The 25101-nt window shown below is 45.4% G+C and overlaps 1 protein-coding gene across 6 annotated transcripts in view, besides 4 other annotated features; it reads right to left on the bottom strand.

Annotated features, from left to right (window-relative positions):
• Positions 1–25101, bottom strand: part of EIF3L (eukaryotic translation initiation factor 3 subunit L) — a 39989-nt gene that overhangs the window by 13318 nt on the left and 1570 nt on the right. For 2 of the 6 annotated variants that reach the window (NM_016091.4, XM_006724260.5), the window contains exons 3-10: positions 24600–24810; positions 20446–20525; positions 17350–17411; positions 13052–13121; positions 12745–12818; positions 5743–5914; positions 1566–1720; positions 79–249 (exon numbers count right to left, since the gene is read on the bottom strand). In NM_016091.4, coding sequence (NP_057175.1) covers positions 79–249; positions 1566–1720; positions 5743–5914; positions 12745–12818; positions 13052–13121; positions 17350–17411; positions 20446–20525; positions 24600–24810 — 995 coding nt within the window. Of the gene's footprint in view, positions 1–78; positions 250–1565; positions 1721–5742; positions 5915–12744; positions 12819–13051; positions 13122–17349; positions 17412–20445; positions 20526–24599; positions 24814–25101 lie in introns of those variants that run through there. The other 4 variants (NM_001363785.2, XM_047441390.1, XM_047441389.1 and 1 more) reach the window with 3 other exon arrangements.
• Positions 13041–13540: an enhancer, noted in NCBI's record as "H3K4me1 hESC enhancer chr22:38258557-38259056 (GRCh37/hg19 assembly coordinates)". NCBI's record gives its function as "activates a minimal SCP1, AML or CMV promoter by ChIP-STARR-seq in primed H9 embryonic stem cells {active_cell/tissue: H9 hESC(primed)}" and the evidence as "EXISTENCE:reporter gene assay evidence [ECO:0000049][PMID:30033119]".
• Positions 18346–18846: an enhancer, noted in NCBI's record as "H3K4me1 hESC enhancer chr22:38253251-38253751 (GRCh37/hg19 assembly coordinates)". NCBI's record gives its function as "activates a minimal SCP1, AML or CMV promoter by ChIP-STARR-seq in naive H9 embryonic stem cells {active_cell/tissue: H9 hESC(naive)}" and the evidence as "EXISTENCE:reporter gene assay evidence [ECO:0000049][PMID:30033119]".
• Positions 18847–19347: an enhancer, noted in NCBI's record as "H3K4me1 hESC enhancer chr22:38252750-38253250 (GRCh37/hg19 assembly coordinates)". NCBI's record gives its function as "activates a minimal SCP1, AML or CMV promoter by ChIP-STARR-seq in primed H9 embryonic stem cells {active_cell/tissue: H9 hESC(primed)}" and the evidence as "EXISTENCE:reporter gene assay evidence [ECO:0000049][PMID:30033119]".
• Positions 23494–23788: a silencer, noted in NCBI's record as "tiled region #5684; HepG2 Repressive non-DNase unmatched - State 17:Gen3', and K562 Repressive DNase matched - State 14:Gen5'". NCBI's record gives its function as "represses a minimal TATA promoter and a strong SV40 promoter by Sharpr-MPRA in HepG2 and K562 cells {active_cell/tissue: HepG2 | K562}" and the evidence as "EXISTENCE:reporter gene assay evidence [ECO:0000049][PMID:27701403]".

Genomic DNA, 25101 nt, shown 5'->3' with positions numbered 1-25101 from the left:
TACCAAGAATGGTTGGCATAGGTGCCAAGGATCCCCCTGATTAGAAAGGCCACTGGTGGCAGGCAGAGTCCCCCTTACCATCTCATACTTGTACGTGGTCCTCTGGAACATGCTCTTGGTCCTCTGGATGTAGAGGAGGATGTTGGCGAAGACCCGGATGGCATCCTGGTAACGACGCATCATCAAATATGCAAACCCAACATAATAGTATGTGGTGACCTGGCACTCTGGCACACGGGAATACATACTCTGTAGAAGGAGGTAGAACAAACATTCATGAGTCCCAATTCATCCTAGATAGAACCAGAGGTAGAAACACCAAGAGTTTTCCCTGCAGAGGCCCTCAACTATCCAGAGGAAGCTCTGGAGTCCCAGAGTTTGAGAGCGGATCTTCCTATTCATCAATTAAGTTGTATGTTTTGAGGAATCCATTTTTTTAGCTGTAAACAAGAAGGTTCTGGATCAGGTAATCCCTAAAATCTCCTTCAGCTCTAAAATGCTATACATCTCAGTTTTGTTATTTTTCCTTGCTTTTTCAATTAAGTCCTTTTGGACAGGGAAGACAGAAACACATACATGCACATGAGCCAAACACCAAATAAAAATTATCTGTAATATTTTTCTGTGGTTAGGAAGAACACAACAGCTAACCATGTATCAATGAACATACCATCTTAGAATTACATCTTTACTTAATTCTTTTTTTTTTTCTGGGACAGAGTCTTGTTCTGTTGCCCAGGCTGGAGTGCAATGGTGTGATCTCGGCTCACTGCAACCTCTGCCTCCCAGGTTCAAGTGATTCTCCTACCTCAGCCTCCTGAGTAGCTGGGATTACAAGTGCCCACCACCATACCCAGCTAGTTTTTTTTTTTTTTGTATTTTCAACAGAGACAGGGTTTCACCATGTTGGCCAGGCTGGTCTCGAACTCCTGACCTCAAGTAATCCACCTGCCTCAGCCTCCCAAACTGCTGGGATTACAGGTGTGAGCCACTGCGTCTGGCCTTCTCAATCCTTTAGCAAAATGTGAAGAGCAAAGAGCTGCCATGGGCCAGGCATGGTGGCTCACGCCTGTAATCCCAGCATTTTGGGAGGCCGAGGTAGGCGGATCACGAGGTCAGGAGATCGAGACCATCTTGGCCAACACGGTGAAACCCCAACTCTACTAAAATACAAAAAAAAAAAAAAAAAAAAAATTAGCTGGGCATGGTGGCGCATGCCTGTAGTCCCAGCTACTCAGGAGGCTGAGGCAGGGGAATCGCTTGAACCCAGGAGACGGAGGTTGCAATGAGCTGAGATCACACCACTGCACTCCAGCCTGGTGACAGAGCAAGCTGCCATCATCATTCCATTTTGAAAACAAAATAAAAAACTGTTGTTAACTACCAAAATCGTCCAGGTCTAGCTTTTTACCACAGCTGTTTGCCCAGTTTTAGTCTCAACTTTCAATGGCCTGAGGGAACAGTCCTCTTTCCTCTCCTGGAAATTTGTCCTAAGAGATCAGAGTGGTTCTCTAGAAATAGATATTCTGGCTCTGGCAAGAGGGGCCAGAGGCAATAGGCATCACCTTCTTGTTCAGTTCGATGTTCTCCAGCACCTTGATGGCCTGGTAGTAATCTCCTAACAGGGAGTGCAGGCGGAGAAGCCCGACCAGGCTGAAGTAACCAAGCATTTTGTAGAGGGAGTGCCGCCCATACTCCCCAGCCACACTCTCAGGGTCACCTGAAAGAGACAGACACCGTGAATACTGATAGGAGGCAGGTAAAGGCAGGCACACCTGACCTCTGAATGTTACTCAGTAGGCATCTCACCTACTGCCAGCCTTGAAAGCTTCCCTCAACAACTGGGGAATAACTTCAAAGGAATACCAAGAAACAGCAAAACCAATCTTATGCTAATCTTCGATTTACCAATATTTGCTTACAGGATGGCAGTTCATTTTGCTTATTTTTTTTTTGGTCCCAACACATGCAAAGGCCCCTCTCATCAGTAAAATACAACCACGAAGACTCCTCCTTTCAGAAAGCACATGAGGTCAAAGCTATTTTCCTAATAACAACACTAAGATGTTACTTGCCCTTCCCACTGAGTTGAATTTTGCATGATGCAAACACTATGTTGGGTAAAATTACTGTCAACTTAAGCATAAATCAGGCAACGACACAAAATTGTACCAGTAGTCACTGCATTGCTTCTTGCCATGCATTTGCACTAAAAGAACTAGTCCTTAGCCAGGCTTGGTGGCTTAGACCTCTAATCCCAGCAACTTGAGAGGCCGAGATGGGAGGATGTGCTTGAGCCCAGGTACCATATCTGAATAACCAGAGATTGTTGTATCAGTTGTTTTTTGTTTGTTTGTTTGTTTTTTGAGACTGAGATCTATGGAAGTGCTACTGCATTTTGGCCTGGGTAACAGAGAGACCCTGTTCTAAAAAAAAGACAAAAAAAAGAAAGAAAATTCTTTTTTCATTTTTACTTGAAAAAAACAACTGATACATAGGTCGGGAGCGGTGGCTCACGCCTGTAATCCCAGCACTTTGGGAGGCTGAGGTGGGCAGATCACGAGGTCAGGAGATCGAGACCATCCTGGCTAGGTGAAACCCCGTCTCTACTAAAAATACAAAAAATTAGCCGGGCATGGTGGTGGGCGCCTGTAGCCCAGCTACTTGGGAGGCTGAGGCAGGAGAATGGCATGAACCCGGGAGGCGGAGCTTGCAGTGAGCCCAGATTGCGCCACTGCACTCCAGCCTGGGCAACAGAGCGAGACTCCACCTCAAAAAAAAAAAAACAAAAAAAACTGATACGCAACTGAGCGCAGCTCATGCCTGTAATCCTAGCATTTTGGGAGGCCGAGGCGGACGTATCACTTGAGGTCAGGAGTTTGAGCCCAGCCTGCCCAACATGGTGAAGCCCCGTCTCTACTAAAAATACAAAAATTAGATGGGTGTGGTGGTGCACACCTGCAGTCCCAGCTATTGGGGAGGCTGAGGCAGGAGAATTGCTTGAACTTGGGAGGCGGAGGTTGCAGTGAGCAGAGATTGTGCCACTGCACTCAAGCCTGGGCTACAGAGCAAGACTCTGTCTCAAAAAAAATAAAAATAAAAAAAGAAGGAAAAAAGGGCAGACATTTTCACAAAAATGAAGTAAACCTGTCATACCTCAAAGAAAATAACTGACAGTGTTTGCTACCTATAAAACAGTTCAAAGGTTGGGCACAGTGGCTCACACATGAAATCCCATGAGTTCAAGATTGGCCTGGGCAACAAAGTGAGACCTTGTTTCTACCAAAAAAAAAAGAAAAAAAAATCAGCCAGGTATGGTGGTGCAAACCTGCGTTCCTAGCTACTTGGGAGGCTGAGGTAGGAGGATCACTTGAGCCCAGCAGGTAGAGGATGCAGTGAGCCATGATTGTGCCACCGCACTTCAGCCAGGGTGACAGAGTGAGACCCCATCTCAAAATAAATAAAAATTCAAGCTATTAAGCAAAAATGGAATTTTGTAAAACTTGTATCTGCCACTACAAGCTCTATAGCTTACAAATAAATGCTTACCTGATGTCAGTGGCAAAAGTAACAAATCTGACTTTTTAAAAAAATGTAATAAAATGTGTCAACATTTGGAAGATCTTTATAACTCAGAGAACCAATATTTTTTTAGAAATCACACATGGCCAGGCGCAGTGGCTCATGCATGTAACCCCAGCACTTTGGGAGGCCGAGGCAGGCAGATCACTTGAGCTCGGGAGTTCAAGAGCAGCCTGGCCAACATGGTCAAACTCTGTTCTACTAAAAATACAAAAATCAGCCCGGCGTGGTGGCGTGTGCCTGTAATCCTTCCTTTCTATATCCCTGGAGGCTGAGACAGGAGAATCGCTTGAACCCCGGAGGCAGAGGATGCAGTGAACTGAGATCATGACATTGCACTCTGCCTGAGCAACAGAGCAGATTCTGTCTCAGGAAAAAAAAAAAAGTCACACATGGATGTAAGGAACTCATTCAAATTACAGAAGTGACGAATAACGTTAACAAAAGAAAAATTCACCAATACAGTTTCAGATTCCTCACTGCACCTAATCTGTATGAAACTACCACTGGTTACTTCAAAGAAGTACAGGGTGAGTATACTTCTATAAATGCTTGTGATCAGAAGTGTTTTGGATTTTGCAATTTTTAATATCTGCATATGCCTAATGAGATATCTTTTTTTTTTTTTTTTTTTTCCCCGAGACAGAGTCTCGCTCTGTCACTAAGACTGTAGTGCAGTGGTGCGATCTCGGCTCACTGCAACCTCTGCCTCCCTGGTTCAAATGATTCTCCTGCCTCAGCCTCCCAAGTAGATGGGATTACAGGTGCCCACCACCAGGCCCGGCTAATTTTTTGTATTTTTAGTAGAGATGAGGTTTCACCATGTTGGCCAGGATGGTCTTGAACTCCTGACCTCAGGTGATCTGCCCGCCTCAGCCTCCCAAAATGCCAGGATAATAGGCGTGAGCCATGGCACCCGGCCCTAATGAGTATCTTAAGGATAGGATCCAAATCTAAACATAAAATTCATTTATTTTTCATATATGTCTTATACACACAGCCTGAAAGTAACTTTATTATAATCTTTTAAATACTTTTGTGCATGAGACGAAGTTCTGACTGCAACTGCTCATATGAGGTTGGGTGTAGAATTTTCTACTTACGGCGTCATGTTGGTGCTCAAAAAGTCAGATTTTGGAGCATTTCAGATTTCAAATTTTCAAGTCAGGAATATTCAACCCATACATACTACTACATGGTGTAGTATCAAAGAAAATCCTCTCCAATAATCCTGGCACTTTTGGGAGGCCAAGGCAGGACTGCTTGAGCCCAGGAGTCCAAGACCAGACTGGGTGACACAGCGACACCCTGTCTCAAAAACAAACAACAAAAAAACTTCCTATAACCGTGTGAAGCCAGATTTTCCTTCTTTTTTTTTTTCAGACAAGTTCTCGCTCTGTGGCCCAGGCTAGAGTACAGTGGTGTGATCTCAGTTCACTGCAATCTTTGCTTCCTGGGCTCAAGCAATCCTCCCACCTCAGCCTCCCGAGTAGCTGGGACTACAGGGGCACCCCACCCACCATGCTCAGTCAATTTAAACATTTTTTTTGAGACAAAGTCTCACTATATTGCCCAGGCTGGTCTCAAACTCCTGGACTCAAGCGATCCTTCTGCCTAAGCCTCCCAAAGTGCTGGGATTACAGGTGTGAGCCACAGTGCCTGGGCCAGATTTTCTTTATGTGCTTCAAACAAAAGAACACATTGCAACAGATTGAATGCAGAAGCAGAAATGAGAAGCCAGCTATCTCAGCCAGACAGAGAGATCTGCAAAAATGCCACTCTTCACTGAAAAAAAAAGAAAAAAATTTTTTAAAATAGATACATTTTGTGGTTCTCAATATTTTAACAGGGTAAAGTGGCTCTGACACCAACACGTGTGAGAAGTGCTTATCTAAACAAAAGCACTGGAGACACAGAAGTGTTTACAAACGCAAATCTCAATGTGCTGGTTCAGTCTGTTGGCCAATGGACTCCCAAGCCCCAGAGCCCCCAGCACAAATACTCTGCTACTGTTTGTACTCAAGCACCTACAAAGAGTCAACAGACCACCACCTAAGACATGGTGACTCATCTGCTCTCCTTGCAGTGATCTATTCATTTGGAACAGATGGCAAGCAGCTGGAAATTCGCAGGCCACGGCTGTCGGCCTGCTGCACTCACCTCCGCTTGTGTATACCTCCAACTGTCGGTTGATGTTGGATTTGTCTACCAGGGAATGAAGGACATTGAGGACACTATGAACATTCCAGATTTTGGGATTGGAACGAAGAAAGTCAATCTCCTCCTCTGACTTCTTGGCAGTCTTACAGCGGTACTGACTGAATGACTGAAACTGTTGAGGAAGAAAAGAAACATGCAGTAGTGGTATAAGCCCAAAGTGATCATCCATGTCCACAATGCTGAAAACGAGGCAATGCTCTGGCTCTGGATGGGGCAAGGTGAGGGTGAGATGACCACTTCTCATTCTAAACCATTCCGTACACTGTTTTTCAAAGCCATCTTGACTAAACTGTGAATTCTGTTCATTACTGAATGTTACTTACTACACAGTGAAGTAAAAATCTCTAGGATTAGAGGTAGTCTGTGGTAAAAACATCCAATCTGGAGTCAAACACAACCCAAAGTCACTTCCTGTCTCTGGGCCTCACAATGCAGTTGACCGGGCCACCAGAAACACCACAGGGGCTCTTGTACCATCTATTCAGATGCAGCTAGACTGTGGTACGCCCTGGGTTATGGGCAGTGATGTGGTAATAGGTATCTGCACGTGTGAGCCTTCCCTACCACAGCTGACCATCAGTTCCCAGACTATGTCACCTCTCTACCACTCTCAACCAGAGTCGTCTGGCCAAGCACAACGAACACAGAGAAGATATGCCACAGGAATCTGTTTGGGACAGAAGTAGAACCTGGAAGCACTCCTGGCCTGGCTCCAGCAGTCACACAGATGGAACACAACAGACCTACCTACTCAATTTTTTAAAGTTCTCTGGTTGAATCTGGTGTGCATCAGGTTTGGAAATCACAGACCTAAAACCTAGGTCTTAGAAGATCTAAGACTGTTCTTCAACTCTTCCAGCAGAGATCAGAGGCTCACCCCTGTAAACCCAGCACTTTGGGAAACTGAGGTGGGCAGATCACTTGGGTCCAGGAGCTCAAGACCAGCCTGGGAAACATGGCAAAACCCTATCGCTATAAAAAACACAAACGAATTAGCCAGGAATGGTGGCAGGCACCTGCAGTCTCCGCTACTAAGGAGGCTGAGGTACGGGCTTTGCCTGAGCCCAGGAGGCGGAGGCTACAGTGAGGTGAGGTTGTGCCACTGCATTCCAGTGTGAGTGACAGAGTAAAACTCTGTCTCAAAACACAAAAAATTATCTTCTTCTAGACTGTGGGACAAAATGCTAATTTTGTAATATAAAAACAAAGAATATGCCAGGCACGGTGGCTCACGCCTATAATCCCAGCACTTTGGGAAGCCAAGGTGGATGGATCATGAGATCAAGAGTTCGAGAACAGCTTGGCCAACATGGTGAAACCCCATCTCTACTAAAAATACAAAAACAGGCCGGGTGCGGTGGCTCATGCCTGTAATCCCAGCACTTTGGGAGGCCGATGCAGGCGGATTACCTGAGGTCGGGAGTTTGACACCAGCCTGACCAACATGGAGAAACCCCATCTGTACAAAAAATGCAAAACTAGCCAGGTACAGTGATACATGCCTGTAATCCCAGCTACTCGGGAGGCTGAGGCAGGTGAATCGCTTGAACCTGGGAGGCAGAGGTTGCGGTGAGCCAAGATCGCACCATTGCACTCCAGCCTGGGCAACAAGAGCAAAACTCCGTCTCAAAAAAAAAAAAAAAAAAAAAAAAAGCACCAAAACAAAAATAGCCAGGTGTGGTGGCACATGCCTGTAATCCCAGCTACTCGGGAGGCTGAGGCAGGAGAATCCCTTGAACCTGGGAGGCAGAGGTTGCAGTGAGCTGAGATCACGCCACTGCACTCCAGCCTAGGTGACAGAGCAAGACTCCGCCTTAGGGGGGAAAAAAAAAGAATATCCAGAATATATAAAGAATTCTCAGGCTGGGTGCGGTGGCGCTTACACCTGTTATCCAAGCACTTTGGGAGGCCGAGATGGGTGGATCCCTTGAGGTCAGGAGTTCAAAACCAGCCTGGCCAACATGGTGAAACCCCGTCTCTACTAAAAATGCAAAAAAAAAAAAAAAATTAGCAGGGCGTGGTGGTGCACACCTGTAATCCAGATACTTGGGAAGCTGAGGCAGGAAAATCGCTTGAACACAGGAGGTGGAGACTGCAGTGAGCAGAGATCATGCCACTGCACTCCAGCCTGGGCGAAAGAGCGAGACTCTGTCTCAAAAAAAAAAAAAAAAAAAAAATCCTACAAAGAATTCTCGTAATGCAATTAAAAAAGCAATCAAATAGAAAACAGGCAAAGAATAGTGATGATCACTTCAAAGAAAACAAAATTGACAATTAATATGGGAAATCAGAAAAGTATGATTTTTTTTTCTTTTTCTTTTTTTTTTTTTTTTGAGATGGAGTCTCGCTCTGTCTCCGAGGCTGGAGTGCAGTGGTGCAATCTCGGCTCTCTGCAAGCTCCGCCTCCTGGGTTCACGCCATTCTCCTGCCTCAGCCTCCTGAGTAGCTGGGACTACAGGCGCCCACCACCATGCCTGGCAAATTTTTTTGTATTTTTAGTAGAGACGGGGTTTCACCGTGTTAGCCAGGATGGTCTCAATCTCTTGACCTCATGATCCGCCTGCCTCGGCCTCCCAAAGTGCTGGGATTACAGGTGTGAACCACCGCGCTGATTTTTTTTTTTTTTTTTTTGAGACGGAATCTCACTCTACTGCCCAGGGTGGAGTGCGGTGGTGTGATCTCAGCTCACTGCAACCTCTGCCTCTCGGTTCAAGTGATTCTCATCCCTCAGCTGCTGAGTAGCTGGGATTACAGACATGCACCACCAAGTCTGGGTAATTTTTGTATTTTTAGTAGAGACGGGGTTTCACCATGTTGGCCAGGCTGGTCTCGAACTCCTGGCCTCAAGTGATCTGCCCGCCTTGGCCTCCCAGAGTGCTAAGATTACAGGCGTGAGCCACTGCGCCCGGCCAGAATTTCTTTCCCATTGAACTGACAAAAATTAGACAGACTGATAATATCCAGTACAGAAAACAGTTGGTCTTGGCTAGGCATGGTGGCTCACGCCTGTAATCCCAGCACTTTTGGAGGCTGAGCAGGGAGAATTGCTTTATCCCAGGATTTCAAGACCCCATCTCTGCAACAAATTAAAAATCAGCTGGGTGCACCTGTAGTCCGAGCTACTCAGGAGGCTAAGGTGGGGGGATTGCTTGAGCCCAGGAGGTCAAGGCTGCAATGAGCTATGATCACACCACTGCACTCCAGCCTGGACCATAAAGGCAAGACCCCCATCTCTTAAACAAAGAAACAAAAAAACCAACAGTTGCTCTCAAACACCGCTGGTAGTAACACAATTTGATACAGCCCATTGGTGGGACAATATATTACTATTTATTATAATTCAAAGTGATTGAAACGTTCTTTTATCTTGATTGTGGCACTGTACACATTTGTTGAATCTCATCCACTGTACACTGATTCTGGTACATTTTATTGTATATTAAACTACACCTCATGGCTGGGCATGGTGGTTCACACCTGTTTTTTGTTTTTTGTTTTTTTTGAGACAGAGTCTTGCTTTGTCACCCAGGCTGGAGTGCAGTGGCGCAATCTCAGCTCACTGCAACCTCCACCTCCCAGGTTCAAGCGATTCTCCTGCCTCAGCCTCCTAAATAGCTGGGATTACAGGTACCTGCCACCACGCCCGGCTGATTTTTTTGTATTTTTAGTAGAGACGGGGTTTCACCATGTTGGTCAGGCTGGTCTCGAACTCCTGACCTCGTGATCCACCCGCCTTGGCTTCCCAAAGAGCTGGGATTAACAGGCGCGAGCTGGTGGCTCATCTCTACTTAAAAAAATAAACTATACCTCAGTAAGCTGATTTAAAAAAACTTAAAAAGCAAGTATCGTTCAATCCACAATTCTACTTCTAGGTAGTGATCCCTAAAAATATGCCTGTGTACAACATATATATGGATATTCACTGATTCACTGCCTGTAATTGTGGAAACTGACAACCCAAAGGTTCATCATCAGAGGCATGGTATATCCATATCACGCACACTGCAGCAAAAGAGCAAGTCAGGTCTATGAAAATATGGTTTAAGTGTGTTAACAAGTCACAGTAAATGGCACAATAGAGTACGTAACCATTTTTGAAGTGATCTCTCTTTATACAGTCATGTTTATGTAAGTGCCTGAGAAACATCAACAAGGTGCCTTTCCTTCCAGACAGTAATTGATACCTCTGCAAAAGCAAGCAAGGCAGGCACTTTCACTATATCTGTAGTTTGAAAAAACAAAAACAAATAAATAAAACAGGGTGGCGAGGAAGAGCCACCTACCCCATGTGGCATCTACCTGGCCAGGACGAAATACACCAGCCACTTACTGACCCTCACTGGACAGTCTTTGTTAGAAAGCACCGTAAGCCCCTTAACAACAACACTGGCTAAGCCCAGGGAATTATGATTATCTTAAGAGGGATAAAGAAAATCAGCACGGATGATCCTTCTTCACTTGCTCTAAGTCAAAAAGACTGCTATTCATCTATAAATATTCCAAATAAAAGGATGACACAAGCCAAGGAGCCAGAGGGCAAACAAGGCCAGTACGGTTTGTGGCCTTTGCTATGAAAGGCACTGAAGCCTAATCTTGAGCAGGAAGCCTCCTTCTCAAGGAGCACTATGAAGGTTTCTCAGCTCACCACTCGTAACGGTTCAGCACTTTGTATACACAACGTCTCCCTGGTTCACGGAGTTCTAATAACATCTTTATTAAGATACCAATTTATCCTGAAATAATCAGTTAGAGCTATAGACAGCACAAAAAGGGGGAAAAGAATTATATTTTGTCAAATTATATATTTTATTTTTTTTGGTTTTTTTTTTGAGACAGAGTCTCACTCTGTCGCCAGGCTGGAGTGCAGTGGCACGATTTTGGCTCACTGCAAGCTCTGCCTCTCGGGTTCGAGCGATTCCCCTGCCTCAGCCTCCCGAGTAGCTAGGATTACAAGCGCACACCACCACGCCCAGCTGTTTTTTTTTTAGTAGAGATGGGGTTTCACCATTGTGGCCAGGATGGTCTCCATCTCCAGACCTCGTGATCTGCCCACCTAGGCCTCCCAAAGTGTTGGGATTACAGGCGTGAGCCACCACGCCCAGCCTATTTTATGTTTTGTAGTCTCTATTTCTCGAACTCCTGGACTGAAGCGATCCTACTGCCTTGGACCCCAAAAATGCTGGGATTACAGTTGTGAGCAATCTGTATTTTTAAATAGAAGGACTGGGCTAAATAAGATGGAAAAGAATAATGATGACATTGAACATCATCACAATCAACAGGCAACGTGTATTAATTATTCTGTGACAGGCACTATGCTAAACACTCTATACGTAGTATCTCAGCAACATTCGCAGCAATCCGTTTTAGAGATGGGGAAACCAATGCACAGTGTGGTTAAGTAATGTGCCCACAACAGAACATGTTACCATTTTAAAATGGGCCAGTAGGCCAGGCGCGGTGGCTCACACCTGTAATCCCAGCACTTTGGGAGGCCAAGGAGGGCGGATCACCTGAAGTTGGGAGTTCGAGACCAGCCTGGTCAACATGGAGAAACCCCGTCTCTACTAAAAATACAAAAATTAGCTGGGCGTGGTGGTGGGCACCTGTAATCCCAGCTACTGGGGAGGCTGAGACAAGAGAATCGCTTGAACCCGGGAGGCAGAGGTTGCAGTGAGCCGGGATAATGCCACTGCACTCCAGCCTGGGTAACAGAGTCAGACTCCATCTCCAAAAAAAAAAAAAAAGCCAGTAAACAGCAACAGCAAAACCTGGACTTTTACCCCCAGGCTACACAGCTGCTGTACTTTATTTGCATTTGGCACAGTTCTCATTCGACCTTGAACAGCAACTCCTGAGGTAGGTGATATTCTTGTTGTGATGAAAATGTTCTATTGTATTCTGATCGAGCATACACTTAAGTAACCACCACCACAATCAAGATATAGATGGCTAGGCATGGTGGCTCACTTTGGGAGGCCAAGTCAAGAGGCTCACTTGAGGCCAGGAGTTCAACACCAGCATGGGCAACACAGCAAGACCCTCGTCTCTACAGTAATATAAATATCCACGTAAGTTGGTGTGGGCCTTGTAGTGGCAGCTACTCAGGTGGCTGAGGTGGGAAAATCACTTGAACCCAGGAGTTCTAGGCTGCAGTAAGCTATTATCACTGCACTCTAGCCTGAGCAACAGAGTGAGACCCTGACTCTTTCTTTTTTTTTTTTGAGATGGAGTCTTGCACTGTTACCAGGCTGGAGTGCAGTGGCACGATCTTGGCTCACTGCAAGCTCCGCCTCCTAGGTTCACGCCATTCTCCTGCCTCAGCCTACTGAGTAGCTGGGACTACAGGCGCCTGCCACCACGCCCGGCTAATTTTTTGTACTTTCAGTAGAGACGGGGTTTCACCGTGTTAGCCAGGATGGTCTTGATCTCCTGACCTCGTGATCTGCCCGCCTCTGCCTCCCAAAGTGCTAGGATTACAGGCGTGAGTCACCGCGCCCGGCCTGACCCTGACTCTTAAAAAAAAAAAGATAATAGAACATTTCCATTGTGTGGGTAAAGAAAGTGAGGCTCTGAGTTTAAATAGCACATCACTGTTACAGAGCTACCAGCAGGTGGCAGCACCCAAGTTAGAATCCACTTCCACCTCGCTCCAAAGCCTGTGAAGCCTGTGTTCTTACCACCAGACCACCTAACAAGGTCTAGTAAGAGCTTGATGAAGGTCAGGAGCTGAACTTATCCGACTTCCAGCTTCCTATCTGGAGTGCTTAGGCTTCCCTGCCTCTTCCGAAAGCCAGCTGAAACTGGAGTCTACTGCCATGGGGTATTTTACACTACAATGGGGATATTTTTACACCCTGCAGCTTTTTTACACAAACAATAGTAACAGCTATTCCTGGCATGGACCAGTTATTTCAAATTAGGCTGAAGCTGACCAGATACCTGGTAGATGAACTCATCGATAATATCCCAGAGCCACTGGTTGGGTAGTTCAAGGGGAGCAGGACCATCGGCATCTGTGCAGGAGATCACAGAAAAGTCAGATTCAAAGCAATGACTCTGCCCATTCTGTAGGCTGCAGAATGCTTTGTAATTTCTCTCTTAAAAGGACCATGAATCACAAGACCTCCCCTCTTCCCACCTACACATTAAGATCCTGCTAATTTAAAAAAAAAAAAAAAAAAGCTGGAGGCCAATGCTGAACCTCATCATAACCACACACACCCTCTTGGCCAAATCTCAGACTCACTAAGAATGTAGTTGAAGAGATTGCAGTAGTTGTAATAGGATTCAAACCTCTGCTCCAAGGAAGGTCCCCCCTGTAAAGAAAACAAGAGATATCAAGATACAGATATTTAATTTTAATGTGTTTTACCCATGGTATACTGTGACAGCTGTGAACAAATACAAGAGAATTGGTATCTGTCCTCTCTTTCTTACTATGTAAATATGCAAGTGAGAGGGAAGATAGAAAGTCCTATAGCAGCTGACGCACTGAATACTGCAACACGTGGTTAGGTTCTACAGCAACAGACCTTAAATGACCCTCAGAGCAGGGATGATGATCTGGCAAAGCAGAGAGAAGGAAAAGTGTTTCAGAAAAAAACCACACTAGCAAAGGCGAAGAAGTTAAATCGTGGCACTTGAAGGCTAGGGAGTTAAGAGAAGATAATGCTGCACCGGGCATCACTAGACTACGGGCCAGGAATGTTGCAGTCTTCCAACGCCAAACAAGCATCTAGGTCAGGGGGCCTGCAAATCTATTCCGCCACCTGTTTTGTAAATAAAGAAGTTTTACTGGAACACAGCCATGCCCACTCATTACATATTGTTGATAACTGCCACAAAGACATAGCTGAACAGATCTGACAGAAACCATCATGGCCCTCGAGACTAAAATACTTATTATCTGACCCTCCACAGAGAAGGTGGCTGACCCCTGGTCTGGTCTTTATGTTGCTTGCATCTGAGAACCACTGATAGTTTCTGAGCTGGGGAACCATACCATGAGCAATGTATTTGTGATGGAGAAGAAACACAACTTTGGAGTCAGTCCCACCTCTTATTAACTGTGGGGTTCTCACAAGGTATTTAATCTCTGTAAAATGTGGGCAAAAGATTGTTGACTAGTCACAATGAAGTAAGATTATATAGCTGGGCGCAGTGGCTCACGCCTGTAATCTCAACACTCTGGGAGGCTGAAGTGGGCTGATCACCTGAGGCCAGGAGTTTGAGAACAGGCTGGGCAACATGGCAAGACCCCGTCTCTGTTTAATAAAAGTTATGTAAGGTGCTTAATACATTAAGCACAATCTAAGCACATTCAATGAAAAACTGCTTCCCAAGGGCTTAAAACTGGTCATTTATGTAGGAGTCCTGGTAGCTAATAAAAAGATAACAGCATCAATAAGCTTCTGCTGAATCTTCATCTACAGACCAAACAGAGAGATTAGAGGTGGTAAAACCAGCTATACTATGGGCTATGGTGTCATGGTGTTCCCAAAAAAGCAGTGTACACATAATGGCTAGATTCTTAGCATATCCACAAAGTACCTGAACTTTAGCATCAATGGTAGTAGGGAATCTTTACTTTTTTTTTTTTTTGAGACGGAGTCTCGCTCTGGTGCCTAGGCTGGAGTGCAGCGGTGCAATCTCAGCTCACTGCAACCTCTGCCTCCTGGGGTCAAGTGATTCTTCCGTCTCAGCCTCCCGAGTAGCTGGGATTACAGGCACACGCCACCACGCCTGGCTAATTTTTGTATTTTTAGTAGAGACGGGGTTTCACCATATTGGTCAGGCTGGTCTCGAACTCCTGACCTCGTGATCCACCCGCCTTAGCCTCTCAAAGTTCTGGGATTACAGGCGTAAGCCACAGCGCCTGGCCAGGAATCTTTACTTTCTATCAGATAAAGTAGTCAGAGATCCCGCTGGGATGCCGGAAAAACATGGCCCCTTACTCTGGCAGCAAGAACTTTTCCACCTACCACTACTGACAGTGGCTCCTGTGGCCAAGGCAGGAGTTCTAGCCATATCAAGCGGTCCTCAAGGAGAAGAGGGGTGAGTAACTGTGAGAAACTAGGACCTCCTTAGGTGGAGATCTTGGTGCCAATTTCCTTCACTTACACATGCATGCAAGCACACACATGCTCAATTAACACCATTATGACCAGACATTATTCTAGGCACTGGATTATATTGGTGAACAAGACAAGCACATACCCCGGTGGAGTTAACCTTCCAGTAGATTAAGAAACTCCCTCCCCTAAATAAACAAATACAACGTACAAGAGATAAGTGCTCTGAAGTGCCACGAATATTGCCAGGAGCCCAGGGAGGGAGGGGGAAAGTTTCAGGAAATGAGTGAGAAGGGAAACAGGGCTAAAACCTGGAATTAGTAAGTGTGATGGGAAGTCATGGTAGGATTGGAAGTGACCTGATGAAACTATGTAGCAAAAGGATCATGCTGGTTATTATGTTGAGAATAAACAGCCAAGAGTGGAAACTGACACCAGGTAAGCAGCTCCTGCAGTAATTCAGGGAAGAGATGATAATGACTTCAACTAGGTGAGCAGCAGTGTGGCAGTGAAAAGTGGCTGATTCAAGAAGTATGCTGAAGGCCAGGCACAGTGGCTCACGCCTGTAATCTTAGCACTTTGGGAAGCCGAGGCGGGCGGATTACCTGAGGTCAGGAGTTCGAGACCAGCCTGGGCAACATAGCGAAACCCTGTCTCTACTAAAAATACAAAAATTAGCCAGGCGTGGTGGTGCATGCCTGTAATCCCAGCTACTCAGGAGGCTGAGGAAGGAGAATCGTTTGAGCCTGGAGAATTGCTTGAGCCCAGGAGACAGAGGTTGGAGTGAGCCGAGACGGCGCCACTGCATTCCAGCCTGGATGACAGAGCGAGACTCCGTCTCAAAAACAAAACAAAATAAAACAAAACAACAAAAAGAAGTATGTTGAAGACAGAGCTTAACAGGATTTGCTGGATATCATGTCAGAGAAAAGTCAAGAATAATGCCAAGGCTTTTAGTCCAATTAACTTGGTAATAAACGGTAGCATTTATTGAGATGATTACCATGAGAAAAACTAGTTTAGAGGGAAAATAAGAATTCAGTTTTAGATGTGTTAAGCTTCAGATGACTCAGACAGCCAAGTGCAGATGCTGACAGCTGAATATACAAGTCTGGACTTCAGTGGGGCAACTGAGGCTAAAGATAGAGATTAAGTCATTGGTGTATATAAATAATACAGATGGCATTTTTCTTTTCTTTTTGAGACAAGAGTCTCACTCTGTCACCCAGGCTGGAGTGCAGTGGTACGATCTCGGCTCACTGCAACCTCCGCTTCCCGGGTTCAAGCGATTCTCCTGCCTCAGCCTTCCAAGTAGCTGGGATTACAGGCACCCGCCACCACGCCCAGCTTATTTTTGTAGTTTCATATTTTTAATAGAGACGAGGTTTCTCCATGTTGGCCAGGCTGGTCTCAAATTCCTGACCTCAGGTGACCTGCCCTTAGCCTCCCAAAGTGCTGGGATTATAGGCGTGAGCCACCGCGCCCAGCCTTAAATAGTACAGATGGCATTTTAAGAAACTTTAGGCACTCTAGGCCGGGCGTGGTGGCTCACGCCTGTCATCCCAGCACTTTGGGAGGCCAAGGCGGGCGGAACACGAGGTCAGGAGATGGAGACCATCCTGGCTAACACAGTGAAACCCCGTCTCTACTAAAAATACAAAAAAATTAGCCAGGTGTGGTGGCAGGCACCTGCAATCCCAGCTACTCAGGAGGCTGAGGCAGGAGAATGGCGTGAACCTGGGAGGTGGAGCCTGCAGTGAGCTGAGATCGCGCCACTGTACTCCAGCCTGGGCGACAGAGCGAGACTCACTCTCTCTCAAAAAAAAAAAAAAAAAAAAAGAAACTTCACGTACTCTATAATTTAGAAGTCGGGAAGAACAGAATCTAGCAAGTGCTCAAAGTTGGGATAATGTGTAGAATACTGGTGTTATAACAAGCTGGTCTAGATTCAAGGAGTTTTGTCACTTACTAGCTGGATAAATTTGAGAAAAGGTAACCTCTTGGCACCTCGGGTACCAACTTTGCACGATTGATAGTAGAATTAGATATGTGAAGATGTGTGCTAAGTGCCTAGCATTGTGCTTGGCATACAGTGACAGTGTTATGTACATCTCAGAGAAACAGAGGCTCAATGCTCTGAAGGGAAAAAGAACCCCAAGCAGAAGCAGCAGCAGGTACCTGGAAATATCCTATGAGGCTGGCAGCCTATAACCAGTGCATGGGTGATTGCCCAGTCCAGGAGAATTGTGGGGACAGAGAAATTTAAAAGAATGCATAGGTTATATAGCGTTAGTGTGTCTGAACAGCTTTCTGGGTTAAACTGTTCCTTCCACCGCTTCTTAAAACTCAAAAACATGCCAATCATGCCCAGACACTGAACCAATATAAACAAATGACTGTGTTCTAGGGACAAAAACAGCACAGAGTTAAAAAAACAAAAACAAAAAAAAAACTGCGACACTTAAATACTTACACTGACTTTGGCATATATGTGCCTGTAGTATAATTCTTTGTATAAAATCAGGAAGACAGCATCTGAAAGAGATGGCAGAAGGGTGCTTCACTAACCATAAAACTGGGGTATCCTGGCAGCTTTAGCTCTTTGGTGGGGAGGAATAAAGGTAATTCTGAAGACTAAACAACATCTAAATTGCTATGCATATGCCCCAAGAATACATGCAATGAGAAAATCCACTTCTCATTTGACTCCATCAACCTCAATCTCTGTCGATGAGATTAAGATCTCATTCAGATCTATTTCCTTTCACCATTTAGAGACTTCTGCCATCCAAGTGCATAAAAAAACCAGCACACAAGAGTAATTAGACAAGCGTGGTGGTGCGCACCCATGGTCCCAGCTACTCGGCAGGCTAAGGTGGGAGGATCGCTTGAGCCCAGCAGGCACAGGTTGCAGTCAGCCATTATCACACTACACTCCAGCATGGGCAACACAGTGAGACCCCCATGTCAAAAAAAAAAAAAAAAAAAAAAAAAGGAAGAAAGAAAATATTAATTTCAGAATGTTGTTTGTTTGTTTGAAGACAGGGTCTCGCTCTGTTGCCAAGGTTGGAGTGCAGTGATATGATCATGGCTCACTGCAGCCTCGACTTCCAGGGCTCAAGTGATCCTTCCACCTCAGCCTCCCGAGTAGGTGGGACTACAGGCATGTGCCACCATGCCTGGATAATTTTTTTAAAAAATTTTTTGTAGAGAAGGGGGTCTCCCTATGTTGCTCAGGCTAGTCTAAATCTCCCAGCCTCAAGAAATCCTCCCACCTCAGCTTCCCAAAGTACCAGAATTACAGCCGTGAGCTACGACACCCAGCCACAGAATGAGTTTTGAACTCATTCTGTGTTTAGTCAATTGAGAGTAAATGTTCAGGCCAGGTGCAGTGGCTCATGCCTGTAATCCCAGCACTTTGGGAGGCTGAGGCGGGTGGATCATTTGAGGTCAGGAGTTCAAAATCAGCCTGGCCAAGATGGTGAAACACCATCTCTACTAAAAATACAAAAAATCCGCCAGGTGCCTGTAATCCCAGCTACTCGGGAGGCTGAGGCAGGAGAATTGCTTGAGCCCAGGAGGCAGAGGTTGCAGCGAGCAGAGATCGCGCCACTGCACTCCAGCCTGGGCAAGACAGCAAGACTCCGTGACTCCATCTTAGGGGGAAAAAAAAAAGGAGTTAAGTGTTCAAAAAAACGTTAGCTATAACAAAACAAATGAGAGACTTGTACACTGAAAACACAAAACACTGGTGAACGCAACCAAAGACCTAAATAAATCAAAGACATCCCATGTCCATAGATTGGAGGACTTAATATTGGTTTTTTTTTTTTTTTTTTTTTTTGGGACGCAGTCTTGCTCTGTCGCCCAGGCTGGAGTCCAGTGGCGCAATCTCAGCTCACTGCAAGTTCTGCCTCCCGGGTTCACGCCATTCTCCTGTCTCAGCCTCCCGAGTAGCTGGGACTACAGGTGCCCGCCACCATGCCGGCCTGCCCAGATAACTTTTTTGCATTTTTAGTAGAGACGGGGTTTCACCGTGTTAGCCAGGATGGTCTCGATCTCCTGACCTCGTGATCCGTCCACCTTCACCTCCCAAAGTGCTGGGATTACAGGCATGAGCCACCGCGCCTGGCCTGGAGGACTTAATACTGTTAAGACGGCAATACTCCCCAAAGTGATCTTCAGATTCTAGGCAATTCCTCTCAAAATCCCAGCTGGCTACTTTGCAGAAATTGACAAGTCCATCCTAAAATCAATAAGCAAATCCAAGAGACCCAGAATAGTCAAAACAATCTTGGGGAAAAAAAAAAAAAGAACAAAGTTGGAGGACTTACCAATTCCCAATTTCTTTCTTTCTTTTTTTTTTTTTGAGGCGGAGTTTCGCTCTTGTTGCCCAGGCTGGAGTGCAATGGCGCGATCTCGGCTCACCGCAACCTCTGCCTTCCGGGTTCAAGTGATTCTCCTGCCTCCACCTCCCAAGTAGCTGGGATTACAGGCATGTGTCACCATGCCCGGCTGATTTTGTATTTTTAGTAGAGATGGGGTTTCTCCACGTTAATCAGGCTGGTCTCGAACTCCCGACCTCAGGTGATCCACCCGCCTCGGCCTCCCAAAGTGCTTGGATTACAGGCGTGAGCCACTGCGCCCGGCCTACAATTCCCCATTTCAAAACTTACTACAAAAATATAGTAATCAAGACAATGTGGCTGGGCACAGTGGTGCATGCCTGTAATCTCAGCACTCTGGGAAGATCACTTGAGGTCAGGAGTTCAAGATCAGCCAGGTCAACAAAGTGTGACCCGGTATCTACAAAAAATTTTTAAAAATTAGCTGGGCAGGCTGGGTGCGGTGGCTCATGCCTATAATCCTAGCACTTTGGGAGGCTGAGGTGGGCGAATCACCTGACGTCAGCAGTTCGAGACCAGCCTGGCCAACACGGTGAAACCCCGTCTCTACTAAAAATACAAAAATTAGCTGGGCGTGGTGGCGGGCGCCTGTAATCCCAGCTACGCGGGAGGCTGAGGTAGGAGAATTGCTTGAACCTAGGAGAATCGCTTGAACCTGGGAGGCGGAGGTTGCAGTGAGCCAAGATTGTGCCACTGTACTTCAGCCTGGGAGACAGAACGAGACTCCATCTCAAAAAAAATAATAATAATAAAATAAAATAAATAAATAAATAAATTGGTGCCAGGGTAGCTGAATATCCACAAGCAAAATAATGAAGTTGGATTTGCCTACCTCACCCATATATAAAGGACATCATCTAAGAAAGTCAAAGGTGGGAAGCTAGAGAGCTTATTCCAGAGTGACTGTAATGACCCCCAAATTATAGAAGGAAATAGAAACAAGTCAGTACAAAGATCTAAATTTCACCATATATGAGAGATCTCTGTCCTCTCTTAAATCATCCAGCCTTCGACAAGTTATTTTGCCAAGGACCTACTACATACCAAGCACCAAGGAAACAAAATGGTGAGCAAAACAGACACAGACCCTCTTGAGCTTCCTGTCTAATGACTCAGCCACTGGATTCCACTCAGTGCACAAGATATAAAGAGCTCACACCTACCATTGCCAACCTGTGGAGCAATGGCTTCAGCCTCGGGCCAAGGTGTATTCTTGAAGAATCTTTCAGTCAGCTTGGTCCAGCTAAAAATCAAGAAAAAAATCTCTAAAATTCCAAAAGGACTGGAGAATGCCAATCCTAACATTTTACAGATGAGGACCCAGGCTTAGAAAGGGGAAGATGTCAAATAAACAGAGCTGAGGCCAAAGCCCTTCAAGCCCACAACTGTCCTCAACCCAACTCCACACTTCAATCTTTCTCAACACAAGAAAATATTGTTTTTGTATCAGTTAGGGACCCATCAAGCTTTTCAGGATAATCTCCTGCCTCTGTATCATTAACTATAGCCATATTTAACTGCTTGCTGTTTTCTGCTATAAGAACTACTTTTTTGGCCACCATTCTTTAACACAGCGTTTCCATCTCCTGGAGCACATCCAAACGTCTCTAAACACAGAAGCAAATCAGTCTGCTGCAGTCCAAGGCCACAACAGACCTACAGCATCCAATTTAAACACTGCTGCCTATCCAATCCAAACACTGCTACTTGACAAACCTGCAACAGGTTGTTTAATTTTCTTCTCCTGATGCCCTCAGCAGCTATTAATACTTTCCTCCAATCTCCTCAAGCCCCACCCCTCCTGCTTCTCTGGCTCTTTTAGTCCAACATATAAACATGCTCAAGTTCCCCTAAAAAACACTGAACAGGCCAGGCATGATGGCTCACGCCTGTAATCTCAACACTTTGGGAGGACAAGATAGGGGTATCGCTTGAACCCAGGAATTCAAGACAAGCCTGGACAATATAGGAAGGCCCTGTCTCTACGGGATGGGGGTTGGGGAGAAACACAGAAACAGAACAGAAAAGAAACACTGAAACAGGCCAGGCGCGCTGGCTCACACCCGTAATCTCAACACTTTGGGAGGCTGAGGCGGGTGGATCACTTGAGGTTAGGAGTTCCAGACCAGCCTGACCAACACGGTGAAACCCCGTCTCCACTAAAAATACAAAATTAGCCAGGCATGGTGGTGCACACCTATAATCCCAACTACTTGGGAAGCTGAGGCAGGAGAATCGCTTGGAGCCAGGAGGCGGAGGTTGCGATGAGCTGAGATTGCGCCATTGCACTCTAGCCTGGGCAACAAGAGCGAAATCCTGTCTCAAAAAACAAAAAACAAAAACAGAAAAAACACAGAAACAAAACACAAAGCCACTCAGTGACCCTTTATGTCCCCGATACTTACCAATTCCCCTTTCTCACCCCACTGCTCTCTGGCTGTTGCTTCCATCACTCTACTGACATTGACCTTGCTAAGGTTATCAAGGCCCTCCAAGTTACCAAATTCAACTGGCTTTTTTTCTCATCTGGACCTCACTAAAACATTTGGTGATACTCTCTTCCTCAGTTTCTTCTGCAGACTTTTTGGTTCCTGTGACATTTCTTTGCCAATTTACTATCTACTTTTCACTTTTCTTTCTGCCTCCTTTACTAGATCCTTTCTTTGCCTGCCCACCCATCCCTAAAGAAACATACTTCTTAAGGCACCAGCATTTCTTCTCACATTCTCCTAGAGAAAGACTTACAAGATGCTTGGCTTCAACTGTCATCTGTATCTGCGGGCACTGCCCAATGCAATAGCCACTAGCTACATGTGGCTACTATATAAGCAAAGAGTTAAATTTTAAATTTCAGTTAGTTGCCATTTAAGTTTAAAAACCAACACTTAACTCAGTATTGGAAAACTTTTAGGTCTATTTGGAATTACTCTACTATTTGAAGATTCAAATTTCAAATTTGAATTACTTTTCCAGTCATAAACTCTATAAAATCTAAACACAAAGCAAGTATTTCTGATACACACTGGATTTAGGAAACTTTAAGTATAAAGAAAAAAAAGGGCAAATATCCCCTTAATTTTTAAATACTGATTACATATAGAAATAATATTTTAAATAAATCTCCACTTCGCTTGGCTGAAAAATTAAAATTAATGTCTAGCTACATTTCTATTGAACATCAGGTCCATTTTTTAATTTTGAGAGAGGGTCTCGCTCCATTGTGCAGCTCACTGCAGCCTCAACCTCCCAGGCTCAAGTGATCCTCCCACCTCAGCCTCCCAACTAGCTGGGACTATAGGCATGCTGCCACCATGCCCCAGCTAATTTTTGTAGGCGCTGATTTATATACTTCTAATCAGAAAAGACCCGGGGAATAAAGAAAACACAGTTCAGCACACTTGCCTTTCAGGTCACCCACCTGGCCCTCTTCCAACTGTCCTTTCCTTTCTTTCATTCCTGTTCTAAAGCTTTTTAATAAACTTTCACTCCTGCTCTCAAACTTGCCTCCCTCTCTTCTTCTGCCTTGTGCCCCTCAGTCGAATTCTTTCTTGTTAGGAGTCAAGAACTGAGGATGCTGTCGACCCGTACAGATACAGACTCATCATCAGTAGCATTTTAGCCCTCAGTGTAATTCTTTCTTGTGAGGAGGCAAGAACTGAGGCTGCTGTAGACCTGTACAGATACGGACTCATCATCGGTAGCATTTTACCCCTCAGTCGAATTCTTTCTTTTGAGGAGGCAAGAACTGAGGCTGCTGGAGACCTGTACAGATACGGATTCATCATTGGTAGCATGTTTTGGTGTTGTGTCACTTCAACACCCTTCAGCTGCTAACCTCTTTTGGTGCCGCATGACTTGGATCCATTTGCTAGTGGTGAAAGACCTCGATGCTGCACCTTCTTCGGCTGGAGGTGTTCAACCTCCGAACAAGGTTTTCTCCCTTTCTCTCTCCTCACTAACTAACCCCCAGATCAATTCTTCTTGGTCATAAGTGACTCTGTTCCCATTGGCTGATCTCTCAGCTCAACCTAATGGGTGGCTTGCAGGGGCGGGAAGGACCTTGGAGTCCACACCAAGTAGAACTTAGGCTCACGAGAGTGGCAGGGGTGAGGCCTAAAACCATGCAATGTCTGAGGTTTCCTCTGCTTTTCAACTACAATCAGCTCTTTCAAAACAACAAAAAAAGAAAACACATGTCAGAGATCCTATTCATTGATCAATAGGCCTTTGGCTATTTGTTTTCTCTCCCTCATCCTTCTGACTTGCTTAAATTCTATTTCCTTGGTGAAGTCACTCCTGACTATCCCAGCTTTGACTGACCTATCTTATCTCTAACGCTCATTACACAACGGCAGCCCCTCAAAACCTGCGGAGTTCAGCTTGCTCTGATATGTACTGAAGGGCTGCATAGCACAGTTTAGAAATTAGGCTTTGGTGCCAGACACTGCAGGTTCAAATCTCAGCACATCCATTAAACTAGCTACATGACTTATTTCTGTGCTGTTTCCTCATCTGTAAAATGAGAAAAACTGCTACTTCATGGGCTTACTGTGAAGGGTAAATGAGTAAAAACACAAACAACACACTGAACATTGATGGATCTATCCTGGTAATAAAAACAAATGCTAATCATTATTATTATAATTGTTAATAGTGATATTATTTTAGGCTTTGTATAAATTTCTGAGGATATAAAGTCCAACAGGCCGGGCATGGTGGCTCACGCTTGTAATCCTAGCACTCTGGGAGGCCAACGGGGGTACATCACTTGAGGTCAGAAGTTCAAGACCAGCCTGGCCAACATGATGAAACCCCGTCTCTACTAAAAATACAAAAATTAGGCCAGGCATGGTGGCTCCCACCTGTAATCCCAGTGCTTTGGGAGGCTGAGGCGGGTGGATCACTTGAGGTCAGGGGTTCAACACACGCCTGGCCAACATGGTGAAATTCTGTCTCTACTAAAAATACAAAAAAATTAACTAGGCATGGTGGCACATGCCTGTAGTCCCAGCTACTCGGGAAGCTGAGGCTGGAGAATCACTTGAACCCAGGAGGCGGAGGTTGCAGTGAGCCGAGATCTTGCCACTGCACTCCAGCCTGGGCGACAGAGTGACACTCCGTTTCAAAAAATAAACAAATGCATAAATAAAATAAAGTCTAACAAAATAAAATGTCCCTAGCCTCAAGGACTCACAAAGACCCCCACCCCCCAACCCCCCCGAAAGTACTGTTTACAGAGTGCTCACCTCATTTGTAGGAACTATATTACCAGGCCAGTCCCACCCAGAAAGAGGCCCTTTCAGCCAGTAGCCCATACCTGTTCTCATAGATGTCCTGGATCTCATACACCTTCTGGTCAATGACATCACTGGAGACACGACTGGCCTGTAGCTCATACACTTTCTGGTCAATCAAATCTGAGACAGTTTTGTGGAAATACTGGATGAAGTTTTTGATCACCTCAGGGATCACCTGATAGGTTTGCTGTTCATACTGACGTTCATAAGCAAGGTCCTGCTTTGGATCTCCTGGAGGTTGGATACAACAAATACAGAGTATGCTCAAACCCACATATATGATAGAACGAAATGGCAAGACCACCCCAGAAACTAAACTCAGGTCTGCGTAAAATTCCCTTTTGAATACTCAGAGATACAAACATCTCAAGTCACTCCCAATCTCGTTGTCCCTGTTTCTTCAAAAATATTACCATGACTTAAAGTTATTTTTCACTTATTATCTGTTTTGCACCCTTCTCCCAAGTCTAGGAAGTCAGGAATCTCGTCTGTCTTGTACTCAGACATACCCTCAGGGCCTAG

Source organism: Homo sapiens, chromosome 22 (genome assembly GCF_000001405.40).
Source record: "Homo sapiens chromosome 22, GRCh38.p14 Primary Assembly".
Lineage (NCBI taxonomy): Eukaryota > Metazoa > Chordata > Mammalia > Primates > Hominidae > Homo > Homo sapiens.
This window is presented reverse-complemented; position numbering and strand designations above follow the sequence as displayed.